At 37.4% G+C, this 21,920-nt stretch overlaps 1 protein-coding gene and 1 pseudogene across 12 annotated transcripts in view; one reads left to right on the top strand and one right to left on the bottom strand.

The window, feature by feature from the left end:
• DNAH6 (dynein axonemal heavy chain 6) overlaps nucleotides 1-21,920 on the top strand; it is a 360,018-nt gene that overhangs the window by 312,019 nt on the left and 26,079 nt on the right. For all 12 annotated transcript variants that reach the window (XM_011532650.4, XM_011532649.3, XM_006711956.3 and 9 more), the window contains 4 exons: nucleotides 9,903-10,063; nucleotides 13,132-13,220; nucleotides 14,020-14,166; nucleotides 15,574-15,712. In XM_011532650.4, coding sequence (XP_011530952.1) covers nucleotides 9,903-10,063; nucleotides 13,132-13,220; nucleotides 14,020-14,166; nucleotides 15,574-15,712 — 536 coding nt within the window. The remainder of the gene's footprint in view (nucleotides 1-9,902; nucleotides 10,064-13,131; nucleotides 13,221-14,019; nucleotides 14,167-15,573; nucleotides 15,713-21,920) is intronic.
• LDHAP7 (lactate dehydrogenase A pseudogene 7) lies at nucleotides 4,399-6,729 on the bottom strand (annotated as a pseudogene).

Below are 21,920 nucleotides of genomic sequence, written 5' to 3' on the forward strand. Positions count from 1 at the left end.
TTAACAGATAAGAGATTCTCAGTAAAATTAATGGCTGATTCTCATCAGAATCCATGATGTCAGAGGCAATGGAATGGCATATTCAAAGTGCTGTGGGGGAAAGAGGGACTGTTAACCAAGAATTCTATATCTGGCAAAATGATCCTTCAAAAATGAAGAAAAATTTAAGATATTCCCAGATAAACAAAAACTGAGAAGGTCTGTCACTAGTAGAACTGCCCTACAAGAAATACTAAAAGGAGTTGTTCAGACTAAAATGAAAGGACACTAGACAGTAAACTGAATTCACACGAAGAAATAAATAACACAAGTAAGCGTAACTACATAGGTAAATATATGTCACTAAGAATATACTTTTGGCTTATAATTTCTCTTTTCATTTTGTATATAATTAAAAAGGCAAAAGCATAAAACAATAATTATAAATATATGTTGGTCATGCAATGTATAAAAATATAGTTTGTGACACAATAACAACACAAGAGAGGGCAGAGCTATGTAGTAGCAAATTTTTTATACAACTGAAACTAAGCTGGTATTATTTCAAATTTAAATTTTTATGAATTCAGATGTCAATTGTAGTCCATGACATGATCACTATGAAAACAACTAAAAATATATACAATATAGTAAAAGAAATCAGCAGAGAATCAAAATCAATATCTAACTAACAAAAAGAAGGCAGTGATTGAGGAATTGAGGAACAACAAGGATATGACATGTAAAAAAATCAGAGAAGTAAATTCTTCCTTATTAGTAATTATATTAAATGCAAATGGATTAAAGTCTCCAATTTAAAGACAGAGATTGGCAGAATGGATTTCAAACACACACACACACACAATTCAGTTACATGCTGCCTACAAGAGATTCACGTTAGATCCAACCAGTGACTAAAAGAGCTGAAGTGGCTATAATAATATCAGGAAAAAAATAGACTTCAAGACGAAAGTTGTTACAAAAGACAGGGATATAATTTAATGATAAGACAATCATCAAAAAGACATAACAATTGTAAATACATATGCACCTAACAACCAAGTCCCAAAATATATAAATTAAAAACTGACAGAATTGAAGGCAGAGATAGTTCAATGAAAACAGTTGGAAATTTCAATGTCCCATCTTTAATAAGGGATAGAACAATTACGAAAAATAAATAAGGTAATAGAAGACTTCAACAACATTAAAACTAATATTAATAGATTTGGCAGATGTATATAGAACACTGTACCCAACAATATCAGAATAAACATTCTTCTCAAGTACACATAGTACATTCTCCTGGATAGTTTATACGTCAGGCCACAAAACAAGTCTCAATAAACTTAAAAAGATTGAGCCATAAAAAGCATCCTTTCAAACACTAAAGGAATAAAATTAGAAATAAATAACAGAAGGAAATATGGACAATTCACAAATATATGGAAATAAAATGATACACTTTTAAGAAATCACAAGGGAAATTAGAAAATACTTTATTCATTTTTTTAAAACTTCAACTTTTACCTTAGATTCAGGTTTCTTAACACGTGCATATTGCATGTTGCTGAAGTTTGGATACAAATGATCCTATCACTGAAGTAGTGAGCATAATACCCAATAGTTAGTTTTTCAACCCTCTCTTCCTCCCCTATCTGGTAGTCTCCAGTGTCCATTTTTCCAATCTTTATGTCCATGTGTACCCATTGTTTAGGTTCCCCTTATAAATGAGAACATGGAGTATTTAGTTTTCTGTTTCTGTGTTAATTTAGTTATAATAATGACCTCCAGCTGCATCCATGTTGCTGCAAAGGACCTGATTATATTCCTTTATGTGGTTGCATCATATTCCATGGTTTATAGTGCCACATTTTCTTTATCCAGTCCACCATGATGACAGAATCTAGGTTGACTGAATATCTTTGCTATTGTGAATCTTTGCTATTGTGAATACTGCAAGTGCATGTGTCTTCTTAGTAGAACAATTGATTTTCTTTTGGATATATACCCATTAATGGGAATGGTGGATTGAACGGTAATTCCATTTTAAGTTATTTCATAAATCTCCAAACTGCTTTTTAAAGTGGCTGAATTAGTTTACATTGTGAACAAATGCACAGTTTATACACCAACAGTGTATAAGTGTTCCGTTTTCAATGCAGCCTCACCAGCATCTGTTAATTTTTGACTTTTTAATAATAGCCATTCTGACTGGTGTGAAATGGTATCTCATTGTGGTTTTTATTTGCATTTCTCTGATGATTAGTGATGTTGAGAATTTTTATATGTTTTTGGACGCCTGTATGTCTTCTTTTGAGAAGTGTCTATTCATATCTTTTGTCCACTTTTTAATGGAGTTGTTTTTTGCTTGTTGAATTAACTTTCTTATAGATTCTGAAAATTAGACTTTTTCAGATACATATTTTCTCCCATTCTGTAGGTTGTGTTTACCCTGTTGATAGTTTCTTTTTCTGCACAAAAGGTCTTCCACTTAATTTGGTCCCATATATCAATTTTTGGTTTTGTTGCAATTGCTTTGGAGGACTTAATCATAAATTCTTTTCCAAGGCTGATGTCTAAAATGGTGTTTCCTAGGTTATCTTCTAAGATTTTTATAGTTTGAGGTCTTACATTTAAATCTTTAATCCATCTGGAGTTAATTTTGGTATATAGTGAAACATAAGAGTCCAGTTTCATTCTTCTGCATATAGCTAGTCAGCTATCCTAACACCATTTATTAAACAGAAAATCTTTTCCCCATTGTTTATTAGTGTCAACTTTGTCAAAGATGAGATGACTGTAGGTGTGCAGCTTTATTTCTGGGGTCTCTATTCTATTCTATTGGTCTGTGTGTCTATTTTTGTACCAGTACCATGCTGCTTTGGTTACTGTAGCCTTATAGTACAGTTTGGAGTTGGGTAATATAATGCCCCAGCTTTGTTCTTTTTACACGGGATTGCTTTGGCCATTCAGATTCTTTTTTGGTTATATATGAATTTTAGAATAGTTTTGCAGTGATATGGGTAGTTTGATAGGAATAGCATTAAATTTGTATATTGCTTTGGGAAGTATGGTCATTTTAACAGTATTGATTCTTCAAGTGAATTAGCATAGAATGTTTTTCCATTTGTTTGTGTCATTTATGATTTCTCCTGGTGGTATTTTGCAGTTCTCCTTGTAGAGATCTTTCACCTCCTTGGTTAGATGTATTATTCTTTTTGTGGCTATTGTAAGTGCCATTCCTTTCTTGATTTAGCTCTCAGTTTAAATGTTATCGTTGTATAGAAATGCTATTGATTTTTGTGCATTGATTTTATATCCTGAAACTTACTGAAGACATTTATCAGTTTTCTAGTTATAAAATCAAATGGTTGGAGAAGAAAGATTGTTTGAGTTCTTCTTTTCCTATTTGGATGTCTTTTATTTTTTTCTCTTGCCTGATTGCTTTGGCTATGATTTCCAGTACTATGTTAAAAAGGAGTGATGAGAGTAGGAATCCTTGTCTTGTTCCAGTTCTCAAGGAGAATGGTTCCAGCTTTTTCCCATTCAGTATGATGTTGGCTGTGGATCTGTCATAGGTGATTCTTAATATTTTGAAGTATGTCCCTTCAATGCCTAGTTTCTTTTTTAATAATTTTTGTCATGAAGAAATGTTGGATTTTATCAAAAGCATTTTCTGTGTCTATTGAGATGATCATATGCTTTTTTATTTTAATTCAGTTTTTGTGGTGAGTCACATTTGCTGATTTGTGTATGTTGAACCAACATTGCATCCCAGGAATGAAGCCTACTTGGTCATGGTGAATTAACTTTTTAATATGCTGCTGGATTCACTTTCCTAGTATTTTGTTGAGAATTTTCGCATCTATGTTCATCATAGATATTGGCCTGACGTTTTCATTTTTGTTGTGTCTGTGCCAGATATTGGTATCAGGATGATGCTGACTTCACAGAATGAGTTAGAGAGGAGTCCTTCCTTTTTTGATTTTTTGGAATAGTTTCAGTAGGATTGGTACCAGCTATTCTTTGTATATCTGGTAGAATTCCACTGTGAATCTTTCTGGTCCAGGGCTTTGCTTGGTAGGATTTTTATTCCCAATTCAATTTCATTACTCATTATTGGTCTGTTCAGGATTTCTGTTTTTTCCTGGTTCAATCTTGGGAGTGTCTTGGGTGTGTCTCCAGAAATTGATCCATTTCCTCTAGACTTTTCATGTTTCAATGCATAGAGTTATTAATAATAGTCTCTGAGGATCTTTTGTATTTCTGTAGCATTGGTTGTGATATCACCTTTGTCATTTCTGATTGTGTTTATTTGGATCTTCTCTCTTTTTTCTTTGTTAATATAGTTAGTGGTCTATCAATCTTGTTTATCCTTTCAAAAAACAAACTGTTTTATTAATTCTTTTATTTTTGCTGTTCAAGGTTTATTGGGGGTTTTAGTTGGTATGACACTTGGATAGTTGGTTGTATTGTTTATATGTAGATCTTTTCACATTATATTGTAATGTACACTATTGACATATATAGATCACAAAATAAGATCCTTTGGAACAATTATGCACAAGACATACGATACTGGATTTATACACTGGATCCCAGGATGTGACTGATTGGGAAAGAATGTTGGACTAGAAATGTCCAGTGAAGGAGCCAGGAAGTTATATAAGACACACTAAACATCCATCTGGCTCAAGGGGCAACTGCAGCATGTGCAGCATTGGCAGTGGTGCCTCAGAGGTGGTAGAACTATTTCATACTGACCAGTTTAGGACTACACAAGATTAGTACCATCTAGCATCAGGATATAGCTGTAGGATTTTACAAACCATTCCTATGTCCAACTTCAGGAATTGATGTTTTTCCCAGTGGATCTTAAAATATAACTGCTTTGATCACAGATCAGATAAAAAGGACAACATGCACAACCTCCAACTAAAATCCTATTGTAGCCTAGACAGTGAAATGATCTGACATCAGAAGACTTTAAAATTGCAGGTCTTCTAGTTCTAGATCCTTGAGGAATCTCCACACTGTCTTCCACAATGGTTGAACTAGTTTACAGTCCCACCAACAGTGTAAAAGTGTTCCTATTTCTCCACCTCCTCTCCAGCACCTGTTGTTTCCTGACTTTTTAATGATACCATTTGACCCAGCCATCCCATTACTGGGTATATACCCAAAGGATTATAAATCATGCTGCTATAAAGGCACATGCACACATATGTTTATTGCAACACTATTCACAATAGCAAAGACTTGGAACCAACCCAAATGTCCATCAGTGATAGACTGGATTAAGAAAATGTGGCACATATACACCGTGGAATACTATGCAGCCATGTAAAAGGATGAGTTCATGTCCTTTGTAGGGACATGGATGAAGCTGGAAACCATCATTCTCAGCAAACTGTTGCAAGGACAAAAAACCCAAACACCGCATGTTCTCACTCATAGGTGGGAATTGAACAATGAGAGCACTTGAACACAGGAAGGGAAACATCACATACTGGGGCCTGTTGTGGGGTGGCAGGATTGGGGAGGGAAAGCATTAGGAGATATACCCAATGTAAATGACGAGTTAATGGGTGCAGCACACTAACATGGCACATGTATACATATGTAACAAACCTGCACGTTGTGCACACGTACCCTAGAACTTAAAGTATAACAATAAATAAATAAATATAAAATTGCAGGTTTTTTGGATTCCCCAAAGTGTAAATGCACTCTTCTTCAAACAGATCTCTTCCTCAGGAGTCAGACTCACCTTCACAAGATCTGAGATTCCATTCTGTCCCAAAATGCAAGGAACATTAAGGAAGACATTATCCTTTATTCCATAGAGACCCTTAATCATGGTGGAAATTAGGTGCAACCGCCTAAGATTCTTCATTATACTTTCTGCCAAATCTGCCACAGAGGGTCCAATGTCCCAGCCTTTGAGTTTGATCACCTCATAAGCACTCTCAACCACCTACTTGTGAACCTCTTTCCACTGTTACTTATCTGTATCAGTCCCTAAATCTGGGTGCAGAGTCTTCAGGGAGACATCAGCAACATTCACTCCACTCCATACAGGCACACTGGAATCTCCACGTTCCCCAAGGACCTACCCATGACAGCTTAATGGGTGAACTCCCAGCCCTTCCCCCATCAGGTAACGGAATCGGGCTGAATCCAGATTGCAACCACTTCCAATAATACAGTTTTTGGGGAAGCCACTTATCTTCCAAGCCACATAGGTCAAGATATCCACTGGATTTGAAACAATAAGCAAATTGCAGTTCGTGCTGTATTTTACAACATTAGGAATGATGAATTTAAAGATGTTCACGTTAGGCTGGACCAAATTAAGACGGCTTTCTCCCTCTTGCTCACATGCCCAAGCAGTGATAATGACCAGCTTGGAATTTGCAGTTACATTATAGTCTTTGCCAGAGACAATCTTTGGTGTTCTAAGGAAAAGGCTGCCATGTTAGAGATCCATCATCTCTCCCTTCAGTTTATCTTCCAGTTAAACTGCCCGTCAGTTGTGGCATGGCACAGGCCATGCCAACAGCACCAACCCCAACAACTATAATCTTATCCTGGGGAGGTCTCTTCTTCCTGTAGAAGATTATGAATCAGCTGATCCTTGAGAGTTGCCATATTGGACTTGGAACCAAAAGGAATCAGGAATGCATGTCCGGCGGGCATCGGTGGCATGTGGCAATGAGATCCGGACTTGGTGGCAGTGGCTCCAGCGCCTGGCTTTATTAATTCTTTGTATGGATTTTGGGGTCCCAATTTCATTTAGTTCTGCTCTGATTTTAGTTATTCTTTTTCTTCTGCTAACTTCAGGATTTGTTTGTTCTTGTTTTTCTAGTTCCTCTAATTGCAATATTAGATCATGAATCTAATTCTCAATGTAGGAATTTAGCACTATAAACTTTTTTTTTTTTTGAGACAGGGTCTCACTCTGTTGCCCAGGCTGTACTGTGGTGGAGTGATCATGGCTCACTGCAGCCTCAACCTCCCCAGGGTCAGGTGATCCTCCCTCCTGTACCTCCCAAGTAGCTGGGACTGCAGGCACACACCACTATGCCTGGCTAATTTCTGTATTTTTTGTAGAGACAGGGTTTTGCCAGGTTGCCCAGGATGATCTCAAACTGAGTTCAAGTGCCCTCCACCTCCGCCTCCCAAAGTGCTGGGATTACAGGCACTGCACCCAGACACACTGTAAACTTTTAACACTGCTTTGCTGCATCCCAGAGATTTCAGCATATTGTGTCTCTCTTTTCATTTGTTTCAAAGAAGTGTTTTATTTCTGCCTTAATATGTTGTTTACCCAAAAGTCACTCAGAATAAAGTTGTTTAGTTTCCATGTAATTGTGTGGTTTTGAGAGATCATGGTATTGATTTCTATTTTAATTCCACTGTTGTCTGAGAGTATGCTTGGTATGATTTTGATCTTTTTGCATCTATCAAATCTATTATGGTTGAGCATGTGGTTGATCTTAGACTGTGTTCCACATACAGATGAAAAAAATGTATATTCTGTGGTTGATGGGTGGAGTATTCTGTAGATAGATCTTAGATCCAATTGATTAAGTGTCTGATTTATGTCCAGAATTTTTTTGTTAGTTTTCTGCCACAATGATGTGTCTAATACTGTCAGTGGGATCTTGAAGTACCCCCACTATTATGATGTGGCTTTCCAAGTCTTTTTGTAGGTCTTGAAGTAGTTGTTTTATGAATCTGGGTATTCCAATGTTGGGTGCATCTATATTTAGGATAGTTAAGTCTTTTTGTTGAATTCAACCCATTACCGTTATGTAATGCCCTACTTTGTCCTTTGTTACTGTTGTCAATTTAGTCTTATTTCTACAATATAAGAATAGTCACTTCCTCTTCTCTTGTTTTCCTTTTGCATGATAGATCTTTCTCCACCCCTTTACTTTGAGCCTATTGGTTTTGTTGCATGACAAATGGGTCTCTTGAAGATAGATGGTTGGGTCTTATTTTTTTATCCAACTTGCTACTCTGTGCCTGTTAAATGGGGTGTTTAGACCACTTATATCCAAGGTTAATATTGATATGTAAGGTTTTGATCCTATTGTGATGTTTTTAGCTGGTTGCTTTGTAGTCTTGATTGTGTAGTTGCTTTATAGAGTCTATGGGCTCTGGACTTAAGTGTGTCTTTGTGGTAGCAGGTATCACTCCTTCATTTCCGTGTTTAGAGCTCTTTTATGAATCTTTTGTAACGCTAGTCTAGTGGTAAAGAATTGCCTTAGCAATTGCTTATCTGGAAAAGCTTTTATTTCTCCTTTGCTTATGAAGCTTAGTCTGACAGGATATGAAATTGTTGGTTGGAATTTCTTTTCTTTAAGAATGCTGAATATAGTTCTGTTATCTCTTCTGGCTTGTAATGTTTTTGCTGAGAAGTCTGCTGTTAGCCTGATAGGACGACCTTTGTAAGGGATCTGACCTTTTCCTCTAGCTGCCTTTAAGAATTTTTTTTTTCACATTGATCATGGAAAGTTTGATGACTATGTGTCTTGGGGATGGTCATCTTATATAGTATCTCCCAGGGTTTCTCTGAATTTCTTGAAATTGCATGTCAACCTCCCTAGCAATATTGGGAAAACTGTCATGGACTATATTCTCAAATATGTTACCCGAGTTGTTTACCTTTTCTCCTGTCTCAGGAATGCCAGTATGGCATAGGTTTTATCTATTTGCATAATCTCATATTTCTCATAGCCTTTGTCCATTTTTTAAATTCTTTTTTCTTTATTTTTGCCTAACTGGGTTGTTTTGAGGGGACAGTCTTTGAGCTCTGAAATTCGTTTTTTGACTTGGCCTAGTATGTTGTTAATGCTTCCAATTGTATTTTGAAACTCCTGTGGTGAATTTTTCAATTCCAGGAGTTCAGTTTTGTTTTTTCTTCATATAGCTATGTCATCTTTCAACTCTTGGATCATTTTACTGGCTTCTTTGGACTGGATTTCAACTTTCTGTTAGATCTCATTGAGTTTCATTGCCATCCAGGTTCTGAATTCTATGTCTGTCATTTCAGACATTTCAATCTGGTTAGATACATTGCAATCTTTTAGAGGTAAGGAAACACTGATTTTTTGAATTGCCAGAATTCTTTTGCTGATTCCTAATTATCCAAGGGGGCTAGTGTTTATCATTTTCAAGTTTCTGTCATTTCGTTGAGGCTTTTTTTTTTGTATTCCTGTTTTCCTTTGAGGGCTTGACTGTGGTGTATGTTGTGTATAGTTCATTGGCTTTGTTTCTGGGTGCTTTCAGAGAGCCAACACTTTGCACAGGTTTCTTAGTTGTAGCTAGTTTCCCACATTGGCTTTCACAGATGTTGTGTGATTAATCAATGGCATTAGAATTCAAAATTGTTTTTGCCTTTTGGGATAAGGAGGGGTACTGTTTTTTGACCTAGGTGGTGGTACATGTGCACATTTGCGTTGTGAGAATTCATTGACCCATACACTAATAATATGTATTTTTCTGTATATGTTAGACTTTAATTTTTTAAGTGTTTAAAAACTGATCTATAGTGTTGTTAGAAGTTAGGATAATGATTACCTGTGGGAAGAAGGAAGGGGAAATCATTGCGGTGGAGAGAGGCATGAGAGAAATGTCTCTAGTGTATCAGCACAGGTCTCTTCTCAACCGCAGGTATTGATTTGTGATCATTTGTAGAGCTGTATATTCGGTTTTTGCACTTTTCTATGTGGGTCATGGTAAAAATATTTTTAAAAACAAGAAATAAGGAAAACATACTTGTACTCCTATTGGAATGAGGATTCAAAATGTTTATATATCCTAAGCAAGAGTCTACTGTATTTATATTTCTTCATATTGATTTTGCTTTAAAATAGCATAAGATGATATTGTGTTCTTGCTGTTCAATTCAGGGTGCAGTCAATTTCACTGGGGCAAGGACAAGGACCTATTGCTGAAAAAATGGTCAAGGATGCAATGAAATCAGGAAACTGGGTATTTTTGCAAAATTGCCATCTTGCTGTTTCTTGGATGTTGGCAATGGAAGAGCTCATTAAAACCTTCACAGATCCAGGTATGTTGAGCATATAGCCCTTGCATAATAATCACATTTTTATGTAACCTTTTCTTGTTGAATTCATTCCTTATAGTAATTCATTATTGTAGGCACTGTGTTTCCATATATGAAAGAGGAGAAATTTGAGGCCTAGACAGATTTAGCTAATTTACACAACCAGGGTTTGATAAAAGGCCTTCAGAATTCCAAGTTGAGGCTAGGATCCACTGGATCATTTCTGTTTCTTATTGCCTTCTATGAGAGGTCATTTGAATTTGAAATATATTACTTATAGGCATAATAAAAAGAAAAATATACTTAGGACAAACAAAGGAAATTAAATCCTTCCCTATAAAATGAGAAATGTAAAGGAACAGAGTTCAAATTACCACCAATTCCCTTAGAGTAGTGTTTTACCACCTTTTATCTTCTGTAACCCGCATGGCAACTAACCTTTACATGTGCCTCAGAGCCACACCTAACCCATGGGCGTGCTCAGCATTACTCATAGTTGCTAGCACTAGTTTTATCTCACCACTTTTTTGCCTACTCAAGAAAGTGTAACGGGCTGCAAAGAGAGGAAGTGGAATTAGAATCTACTCATTTTAAAGTGTTACTATAAAAATAATCAAAACCTCAGGAACTATTTTATTGGTAACAAATTGTGTGGGTCCCACTCTACCACTCTGCTGTGAAGCCCTGGGAGAGAACCTCCAGGCAAGCATATCCAGAGAGAGCCCTTTCTCTGAGGCCTTTATTTGTGCCCTCCCTACAGAAAGCTTTCTGGAAAGGTGAAAGCTCTGCAGATGATCTTGCAAATCACTTTATTTAGTGCTGCTTATTAAGGTGAAGAGCTGCTCCTTTACAGAGTCCCCAGTCTGCTCTGGTCACTGAGCCAGCTCAGGGTTTAGCAGCCTTCCCCTAAAAGCCCTTCACTTCCTGGCCCCCTGCCCTCACCCACAAGCCTTCTGCAGGCTGCTTCTGACAAAGGTAAGGACTCATTTTTATCCACCATTCAGAATCTCCACTATTTCCACTCTTTTGCTGTCAAATAAGAGAGGGCCTGCTTCCTGCTGGGCCTGTGGCTTATTTCTACTTAAATAATTAAAGAGAAATGACAAGGAGGTCTTCAGTACTGGTCAGGGGTCCCCAGTGATTAGGAATATAATTAAGAAAAAAATGCTAGAGAGGCAGCAAAAAAGCAATTTACTGTGGTGGTACTACATGAGGCTCCAGAATATGGAGATGCCATTCAGTTTCACTGTAACTAGGACAAGAACATTTGCCAGTTCTTCAAGGAGACTGGATCGGCTAATGAAGCCAGCTGAAGTTGTTTGTGTATTTTAAGTGCTTACTAAACTTAAGTGGATAGAAAAAATCCTCTTATGGCCCTTGCTATAATCATTTATCACCTAACCATTTAAGTTCTGATGTTTAACTTGAACCAGTAGGAAATAAAATACATTCAGGTAATAAGCTGAAAATACAAAAGGAAGAAAAAGAAAAAAAACAAAACAAATAAAACCTCAGAACTTGAAATCCTAACACCTCCACAGAGTTCTGCCCCACCACTTCCTGACTGTGCATGTCATATCTTTTTTCTGGGCCAGTTTCCCCAGCTATAAAATGACTACATGACATCATCATGAAAAGTCCTGTACTAAGATGATTTCTAAGATGCTCTTCTAGTCCAGCCCTAAAATTCTATGATGTCTATGAAAGTTAAGAAGCTTGGTGCTTTTGCAATTATAAGAACAAAAGTATGGAAAAAATCCTTCTCCAAACCTGGCCTTCTTCTTTCTTTGGTTTTTTGGTTACTGAAATCATTGGCCCTAAGACTTTGGTTGTTGTTTGACTTCTTTGCCTAATAGTTTTTACTATGCAAACAGTGTTAGTATTGCTCTAGAATTTGGTAGAACTAACTTTTAATTTGGGCTATTTAATGTGGCTTGTGAATTTAGATTACCAAACCAAGAAGCATGAAATCAGCTTTGACTTGTTGTCATTCATTCCATAAATAATTAAGGGCCTAGTGTACCATGTATTGTTCTAGGATATGTTGATAAACAAAAGAACCATAGATATTTGTCCTCGTAGAGTTTCCATTCTAGTTGGGGGGAGACAGACAATGAATAAACCACATGGTAAATAAGTAACGTATACGTTGTGTTAGAACATGGTTGTGCTTTGGAAAAAATAAAAAGGAGAGTAAGGTAAGGAGGACCAGAAAGATTGAGATGGGATGTGAGTAGGGAGCAAGGAAGATAGCAATTTTAAGTGGTTTAATCTGAGTAGTCCTCTTTCAGAAGGTGATATTTGACCAAGACATGAAGAAAGTGAGGGAATCTGAGGGAACAGCCAGTGCAAAGGCCCTAGTGAGGGAGCCAGCCTAGCATGTTTGAGAAACAGCATAATACGTACTTAAAAACCAATGCCAAGGAATTTGTCCTTGAATGATGCCTGTGTCTTCCTGTGATGGGAACAATGATTTTTCCAACTTTACTTTGGCCTTTTGAACCTACAGTGGAGCTCATTCTTTCTTGGGTCCTCTGTCCATATCTCAGAAAGTAAGTGCATTGACTTAACGTGCTAATGCCACACATGAGGTCTCTCCATATCCTGGCTCCCTTGTTTCCTTTGCAACTTTTCTGCTGAGGGGAGAATTTTCTCAGTAGGGGTTTTTGGCCATTTTCATGCAACTTGTGTTAAATTGAAGGGTCAAAAAATCCTCATGAAAATAAATACATGGGCAATAACTGCCCTCTTTTTCAACTGAAAATGTTTCCTATTTCAAAGATAAGGCCCTTAATAGTTCAGCAAGTATTAAAAATTATCGTGTTCCTAATTTATTTACCCAAATGTGCCTGCTTCTAGACTGCCAAACCTTCCTAACGTGAAGTTTCTAAAACAATGCATCTTACTCCCATTTTGAAACAGTTTACACTATACTTGTAATAGATTAACTAGATCTTTAAACAAAGCTTATAGCATTTTTTCCTTCTCTAGAAATAATCATGTCTTATAGAAAAGTGCTACTACCAACTAAACATTTTCCTTTTTTGTTGTTTTATCTTTGTTTTAAGCAGATAGTGCTATCAAGGACACTTTTCGACTTTTTTTAAGCTCCATGCCTAGTAATACATTTCCTGTTACAGTTCTTCAAAATTCTGTCAAGGTAATGTATGCATATGGTTGGAACAATGTGAAATGGTTGGTTTCAGAATATTCACCTAGTGCCTCCCAGGAGATCAGAGCCTGCACAGAAGCATGTGGAGGTCTGTGTGGCCAGCATGGGGAGGTGAAGTCAGTATCTTTTCACCTATAACAAGCAGAGAAACGATTTCCCAACCCCATCCTTGCATATTCTAGTCCTATGGGTCATTCAGCTCTCCCAGCCGTCACCCTCACAAGAAAATGTTAAGGGTACAGAGTGATAAGAAGAGAACCCCTTCTAGTGTTAAGGGAATGTTTCAGTATTTGAGAGACAGGAAGGCCTACAAGCCATACTAGTATGGCTGCTGGATTTCAATGCTGGAAGTTTATGATCTGTGGCAAGCCTCTGCATATGAGGAACAAGAGTTGCTTCTTCCCTCCCTGTCCCACGTCATGGGACATCAGGGGACAAACTATGGAACAATGCCCTATGTAGGGATGATGCAAAATTCAATGAGGAAACCCTGAGCATGCTTTCTGACCTGTGTTTAGAAAAAATGGACACTAAATGGAAGTGTCTGAGGTTCTTGTCATGTGGTTCAACCACTGTAGGTCTGAGAAACCTGCCATTCCCTATTCTCCCTGGACTGTGCCTGAGCAAGATACAAAGCAGGCTCGAACATGCCAGGAATGGTCCCCACCTCCCCATGAACATCAGCAATCTACATCATTTCAATGGCTTCAGTCTATGTGTGTTATTCAGAAATAATGCAAATCTATAAAATCACTCTCTCTGCCACATATATTCTATCTAAATCCAGGTGACCAATGAGCCTCCAAAAGGCTTACGTGCAAATATCAGACGAGCATTTACTGAAATGACACCTTCGTTTTTTGAAGAAAATATACTTGGAAAAAAATGGAGACAAATAATATTTGGCATTTGTTTCTTCCATGCAATTATTCAGGTACACTCAACTCTGCTTTTCAATAGCAACAAGGAAGTGTATTATGAAATAAATAAATAGTAATAATTAAGTGAAAGCTTATAAATGTCATTGTGAAATGCTGAAGGCCCCATTCTGTGTCTGAACCCAAGTTGTTTTCATTCAATCTCTATACTCCCCTTGCCTTCGTATTTCACAGCTTCAGCTCTCACCTCTCGTCTGATCTGCCTACAGAATACCATCAATTGGATGAATGCAGTAGGTTCAATTCAGTTCAACAAGCACAAAATAGATTTCCTCATAGGTGGCATATTTACTATATTAGCTTCCCAGTTTTCAAACGTGTGTGGTCTACAGAGAAAGAAAGAATGAATGAATGAATGAATGAATGAATGAATGAATGAATCAGACTGTGCACAGTGGCTCATCCTTGTAATCCCAACATTTTGGGAGGCCAACATGGGCAATTCGCTTGAGCCCAGGAGTTCAAGACCAGTCTGGGCAACACAGCGAAACCCCATCTCTACAAAAGTTTTAAAAAATAGCCAGGCATGGTGGCACACACCTGTAGTCCCAGCTACTCAGGAGGCTGAGGTGGGAGGATTGCTTGAGCCTGGGAGGTCAAGGCTGAATGAACAGTGATTGTGCCACTGCACTCTAGCCTGGGTGACAGAGAAAGACTCTGTCTCAAAAAAAAAAAAAAAAAAAAAGAAAAGATGCCAGATATAAGATAAATAGGTTAAAAGGTCTTAGAGGAGGTCTGACAGGTTGGGATCAGAGGTTCTGGGTGAGGCCCTTGTTCCGCTAACAAAAGCAGCTGAGATGAGGAGGTAGTTTAAGCTTTAGGAAAATTTTGAGATCAAGAGCTAGGAACTTGGAATCAAACCTCTGGCATAATTATCAGTTTCAAATTTAAGAAATTAAGGTAGGATAGGGAGATAACAAAGGAAGTTGGGGGAGGATTTCATGATGGTATGCCATGAAACAAAAAAATATGATTCTGTGTGTGGCATAACTGAAAAATCATGGACAGACTCCTTAAAACAGTAGGGAGTAGCTCTCTCCACCAGATGGATGATTGCAGGGTCAGTATTTTTATGCCAAAAGACTGTAGGTGAAATTTTTTTTTCTGCTTTGATGAGAAAATGCTTTATTTTATCCTGAAGGAAAAATGTTCTTTTGACAGGTCTTTCAAATTTCTGGTAATAGCAAATTTTCTTTTGGAAATATGGGGAGGAGCCAGTATTGAAGGAAGAGGTGCTTTCTCTGTTTGGTGAAAGCCTAGCTGAAGTTGAGCCACATGATTTTACTGATTTTGCAGTGTGGGGATGCCCATTTTCAATGGAAATTTCTTTTTAGTTTCCAGTATTTTACACAAAATTAATTTTATCAAATTTTATTTCAGATCATTTTCATTTTTCATTTTAGGAGAGAAAGAAGTTTGGCCCCCTTGGTTGGAATATCTGCTATGAATTTAATGACAGTGACAGGGAATGTGCTTTACTGAATCTCAAACTCTATTGTAAAGAAGGAAAGATTCCCTGGGATGCACTAATTTACATTACTGGTGAGTACGTCCTTGTGGCCAGGCCTTCCATCTATGTACCACAAAGTTGTTGGTTTACTCCCACCTGGCCCTTACAAAGATGGTGTCCTCCCCCAGTGTTTAATGGTGGTGATGATGATATTTTATGTTCCTTGTGTGAAGACAAGATTGTAACAAAAATATATAAGGACATCATGAGAATATTCACACACAGAAAATGGGACAGCTGCTTTCTCAATAATAATAATAATAGGAAAAATAGTGCTTGCTACATGCCAAGCACTATTTTAAGCACTTCCCAAGAATTAGCAGATTTAATCCTCGTAATAACCTTACAATGTGAGGACTATTATTATCACCGTGCTACACATGAGAAAACTGAGGCACACCATTTACAAAGTGCTGGGGCCAAGATTTGAACCCAAACAGTGTAGCCTCCAGAGTCCATGATCTTAAATTCAAAAGAACCTAAACATTAACTGACTAGTAGAGACCTGTTAATTCAGATATACCTGTAAAAAAGGAAAAACCTTTCAGGAATTAAATTTTTGGTAAATATTAACTGTGACTACATAGGGATCTTGTTGCCAAAATTAGAACCAATTTGGACCATGTGGGCTCAAGTAGTAAGGGAGAGGATATTTGCACTGGGAAGTGGGGGAAGGAGGAGCTCTGAAAAGGGACAGAAAGGAAATCGATGATTTTCATTGGCAAGTAAGGGAAATGGAGAACAGCAGAAGGGTATCAGGTGATCTAGAGCCTAAAAGGTAAAATGAAACCTTAAAACATGTTTGAGATGAAGGCAGCAAAATAACAGTAAAAATAGATTAGGACCAGTCCCCAGAGTGAACCAATAGGGAAAGGCCTGGAATTTGGGAGGTTACTTTGTACTCCTGCCCCAAGCCATCCCAATGGGGCCGAAATTGCTTAGCAAAGTGATGATGTAGGCAAAATTGTTCTCTGGTATCCTCTGCTTACCCTGAGTTTTCCTGTTTCTCATTTTCCTTTTCCTTCTCCCTCTCCTAGAATCCTTGATGTTTCAGGTTACCTCAGTGTCTACTGCTGTGGAAGTAATTGTGGAGGTAAAAAGTAATTTGCCAGACTGGTCTGTAGATTTAATGCAATCCCTATGTAACAGCAGACTGTTACACCCAGATCAACTAGCATGTTGCAGGAATTGATAAGCTGATTATAAAATTCATATGAAAATGTGAAGGGCCTCAAATGGCAAGAACAATCTTGAAAAAAAGAATGAAGTCAAAAGAATAACGTTTCCCAATTTCAAAACTTACTGCAAAATTATAACAAGTCATTGTGGCACTGGCATAAAAATAGACAGATTTTGACTTGGCAGTGGTGACCATAGCTTTATCACATTTTTTGTTTCTGGCATGAAGGGAGCAGAGCCTTTATCAGGTCGATTTATTTTTATGTGGCACCCATCCACTGTTCCTTCCAGGCCAGCACCTAGTCTTGGTCAGAAGAGTCTCAGAGCTGTCAAAAAGTTGCGCTGAAGAAAACAGGACATCTCAGCAACAAATGTCCCAAAGTATTGCTGTAAATAAGACTGATTTTATGGGAAAATTAAGAAAGGTGTTGTAGTTCTTACAAATTTGGATCTTCATCTATGTTGAAAATTCCATTTCTGGATCTAGTTTGAGGCACTAAGAAGGATAAGACATCAATTTGCAAGGAGCCCTTGCCAGGGTAACATCAATTCTGCTAAAATTGAAGCAGAACAAGCATCAAATTTACGGTGAAGCTTGTGTGGAAGAAAGGCAAATATTGATACTTTACAAAAAGTTTATAGGGACAGTGCCCCAAACAAATCAGTAGCAATTTATAAATGGATAACTAGTTTTAAGAAGGGCCAAGACAGTGTTGAAGATGAAGGCCACAGCAGCAGGCCATCCACATCAATTTGCAAAGAAAAAATTAATCTTGTTCATGCCCTCGCTGAAGCACACCAACAATTAACAGCAGAAACAACAGCCAACACCATAGACATCTCAATAGGTTCATTTTACACAATTTTTACTGAAAATTAAAGTTGAGCAAACTTTCCACTCCATAGGTGCCAAAACTCTTACATCCAGATCAGAGGCAGACAAGAGCAAAGCTTTCAATGGAAATTTAAGCAAGTGCAGTCAAGATCCTGAAGCATTTCTTTGAAGAATTATAACAGGAGATGGAACATGGCTTTACCAGTACAATCCTGAAAGCAAAGTACAATCAAAGCAATGGCTACCAATGGATGGAAGTGGTCCAGTCAAAGCAAAAGCAGACTAGTCAAGAACAAAGCTCATGGCAACAGTTTTTTGGAATGCTAAAGGCATTTTGCATCTTGACTTTCTGGAGGGCCAAAGAATGATAACATCTGCTTATTATGAGAGTATTTTTAAAAAGTTAGCCAAAACTTTAGCAGGAAAATGCCTAAGAACACTTCGCCAGAGAGTCCTTCTCCACTCCAACAATGCTATTCAGGCCTCTCATCAAACTAGAGCACTTTTACAAGAGTTTTTATGGGAAATCATTAGGTATTCACTTTACAGACCTAATTTGGCTCCCTCTGACTTCTGTGCTTCCTAATATTAAAATTTTGTTAAAGGGCACCCATTTTCTTCGGTTAATATAAAAAAAGACTGCATTGACATGGTTAAACTCCCAGGACCATCAGTTCTTTGGGGATGGACTGAATGGCTGGTATCATTGCTTACAAAAATGTTTTGAATTGATGGACCTTGTGTTGAGAAATAACATATATATTTTTTAAAAAAAGAATTGGCTTATAAATCAATGGAACAGAGTTGAGAATCCAAAAATGACCTTTATATTTATGACCACTGATTTTCAACAAAGGTGCCAAGGCAATTCAATGGGGGAAGGATAGTCTTTTCAACACATGATGCTGGGACAATTGGGTGTCCATATACAAAAGGATAAATTTGGACCCTTATACCATACACAAAAATTAATTCAAAATGGGTGACAGACCTACAATTAACAGATAAATGTAAATCTCTTAGAAGAAAGCTTTGGAGTGAATTGTGATTTGGGGTTAGTCACTGACTTCCGAGATATGACACAAAAAAGAAAAAATAAATTGGACTTCATCAACATCTAAAACTTTTACACTTCAACACACACCATCAAGAAAGTGAAAAGGCAAGACACAGACTGAAAGAAAATATTTGCAAATCATATATCTGATAAGGGCTTGTATCCAAAGTATATAAAGACCTCTTACAACTCAACAATAAGAAAAATAACTCAATATTAAAATGGTTGAAGATTTTATTTGAATAGACATTTCACCAAAGAAGACATACAAATGCCCAGTAAACACATGTCAAGATGCTCAATTTGTCATGAGGGAAATGAAAGTTAAATCTCTAATGAAATGCCACTTCACACCTACTAGGATGACTATAATTTTAAAAGATAATAACAAACGCAGGTGAGCATATGAGAAAATTGGAAGCCTCATACCTGCTGGTGGCAATGTAAAATTGTCCTGCTGCTTTGAAAAAAATTTTAAATAAAGTTGCCATATGACTTAGCAATTCTACTCCTAGATATGTACTTAGAAAAAATTAAAACATATGTCCTCACAAAAACTTGTACACAAGGCCGGGCGCAGTGGCTCACGCCTGTAATCCCAGCACTTTGGGAGGCCCAGGTGGGCGAATCATGAGGTCAGGAGTTCGAGACCAGCCTGGCCAACATGGTGAAACCCTGTCTCTACTAAAAATACAAAAATTAGCTGGGTGTGGTAGTGCACACCTGTAATCCCAGCTACTCAGGAGGCTGGGGCAGGAGAATCACTTGAAACCAGAAAGCAAATGTTGCAGTGAGCCGAGATCACGCCACTGCACTCCAGCCTGGGCGAGAGAGTAAAACTCCATCTCAAAAAAAAAAAGAAAAAAGAAAAAAAAAACACACACAAAAACAAAACTTGTACACAAATGTTCATAACAGCATTGTTCATAATGGCCAAAAATGTCCATTAACTGGTGAATGGCTAAGTAAAATATGGCATATCCATAAATAGAATATTATTCCACCATAAAAAGGAATAAAGTACTGATACATACAACAACATAAATAAATCCCAAAAACATTATGCTAAGTAAAAGAAGCCAGACACAAAAGCCCACAAGTACAATTCTATGTATATGAAATTTCCAGACGAGTCAAGCCTATAGAGATGGAAAGTAGTTCAGTGGTTTCATGGGACAGGGAGTAGACATGAGGACTGACTGCAAATGGACACAAGATTTCTTTTGGGGGGAAATGGAAATGTTCTAAAATTAGATTGCAATGATGGTTGGACAACTCTGTAAATTTACCAAAAATTAATGAATTTATATATATATAATTATATATATAAGAATAGACATATTTTCAATATATATTCTTTTATATATGTTTTATGTGAATTTTATGGTTTTTTAAATTATATCTCATTGAAACTGGTTTTTTAAAAAAGATAGGAGTAAAAAGACAATGCTTTATCCAGGTGACGATACTTGCTAATGGCGAGTTTTTTTAGGCATTCATTTATGGATTAATTCAGAAAATATTGATTAGTACTATTATGATAAATGCTGGATATCAAAGATGACATAGTCTCTGCCTACCAAAAGCTGATGGAGATAATGAATCATTCGTAGTAGCCAAAATATGGAAACAACCCAAATGTCCATCAACATATAAATGGACACAGAGAGTATCGTATATACATACAATGGAATACTATTTATCCTTAAAAAAGAAAGATCCTACCATTTGTGACAACATGGATGGACCTGACTGACATTATGCTAAGTGAAATAAGTTAGTCACAGAGGGACAAATACTGCATGATTCCTCTTATGTGAGGCCTCTATAATAGTCAAAAGTCTAGAAGTAGACAAGAGAATGGTGGGTATCACAGGATAGAAGGAGGAGGAAAATGGGGAGTTGTTGTTCAGTATAAAGTTATAGTTATACAAGATGAGTAAGTTAGAGATCTGTTGTACAATATAGCACTTACAGTTAATCAGAAGGTATTTTGTACTTTAAATTAATTTATCAAGAGAGTAGATTTCATGTTAAGTATTCTAACCACAATAAAAAAGTGGGTGGCACAAAGAAATTGTCGGAGGTCATGGATATGTTTACCATATGGATTGTGGAGATAGCAACATAAGTATATACGTATGTCAAAACTCCCCAGGTTGTATACATTAATTATGTGCAGTTTTTTGGATACCAATTATACCTCAATAAAGGCGCGGGGGTGAGGGGAGGCCAAGAGTGTATGGGACATGGCACTACTAGAGAAACAGTTAGTAGCTCCAAAAAAGGAAGTGTGTATGGAGGGCAGTTGTGTCTTCAACAACACTAAAAAAGGTAAGCCGGGGGCATATCCTGAAAGGCCTATGTGTCTTGCTAATAAATTTTGCTCTAACTTACAAACATTGGTTAGCAATTATGGTCTTTTAGGTTAGGAAGAAGTGCAACAATTCACAAAGCTATAATAAAAGCAAAATGAGGGATTGAACATGGAGATATAGCAATACCCATGGGAAAACCAGACAGGAGAGAATAAACAGAGAAACATTTAGGAGGCTTTAAATACTGGAAGGTGTTTGGGATTGGAGGAGGACCTTCAGATTTTATAGTGTAGGTTACAGCAATACATACATCCAGGAGTGGTATTGGGGGTGGATCTGAGCTCAAAGTTGGCAAAGACAAAGTCAGACCTCAGGCCTCTCCAGTTTTTATTGGACCATGCCCAAGCCAGCCCACAGGGATGGGAAAGGAAGGGAAAGGGGAAGCCACTATGTTGGGTTCTGCAATGGTACCCACAGGAACCATGATGCTGGGGCCAGACCAGGCAGTGGCATGGATGGTGGACACCACCACACACACACACGCATGCACACACGTACACACACACGGGCGTGCACACACACAAGCGGTCCCTCTTCTAAGAAGACCAAAGCCAGAAGACTCCTTCTTGAAAGTGAGCTGTGAGTCATCTACCCTGAGTCAAAATGACAGATTTCCTTGTTTACTCAGTTTGACCCATGAAAAAGGATAGAGTCAAATCTGGATGGAGAAGCGCAAAATCTGTTGATTTGTAAGGAAAACACTTCTGTGCTGCTTGTCAAAATGCAGATATTTTAGTTAGAAACTTATTTTAGAATAATGTATGTTAGGACACCCTTCTTCCCCTGACATC

Source organism: Homo sapiens, chromosome 2 (genome assembly GCF_000001405.40).
Source record: "Homo sapiens chromosome 2, GRCh38.p14 Primary Assembly".
Lineage (NCBI taxonomy): Eukaryota > Metazoa > Chordata > Mammalia > Primates > Hominidae > Homo > Homo sapiens.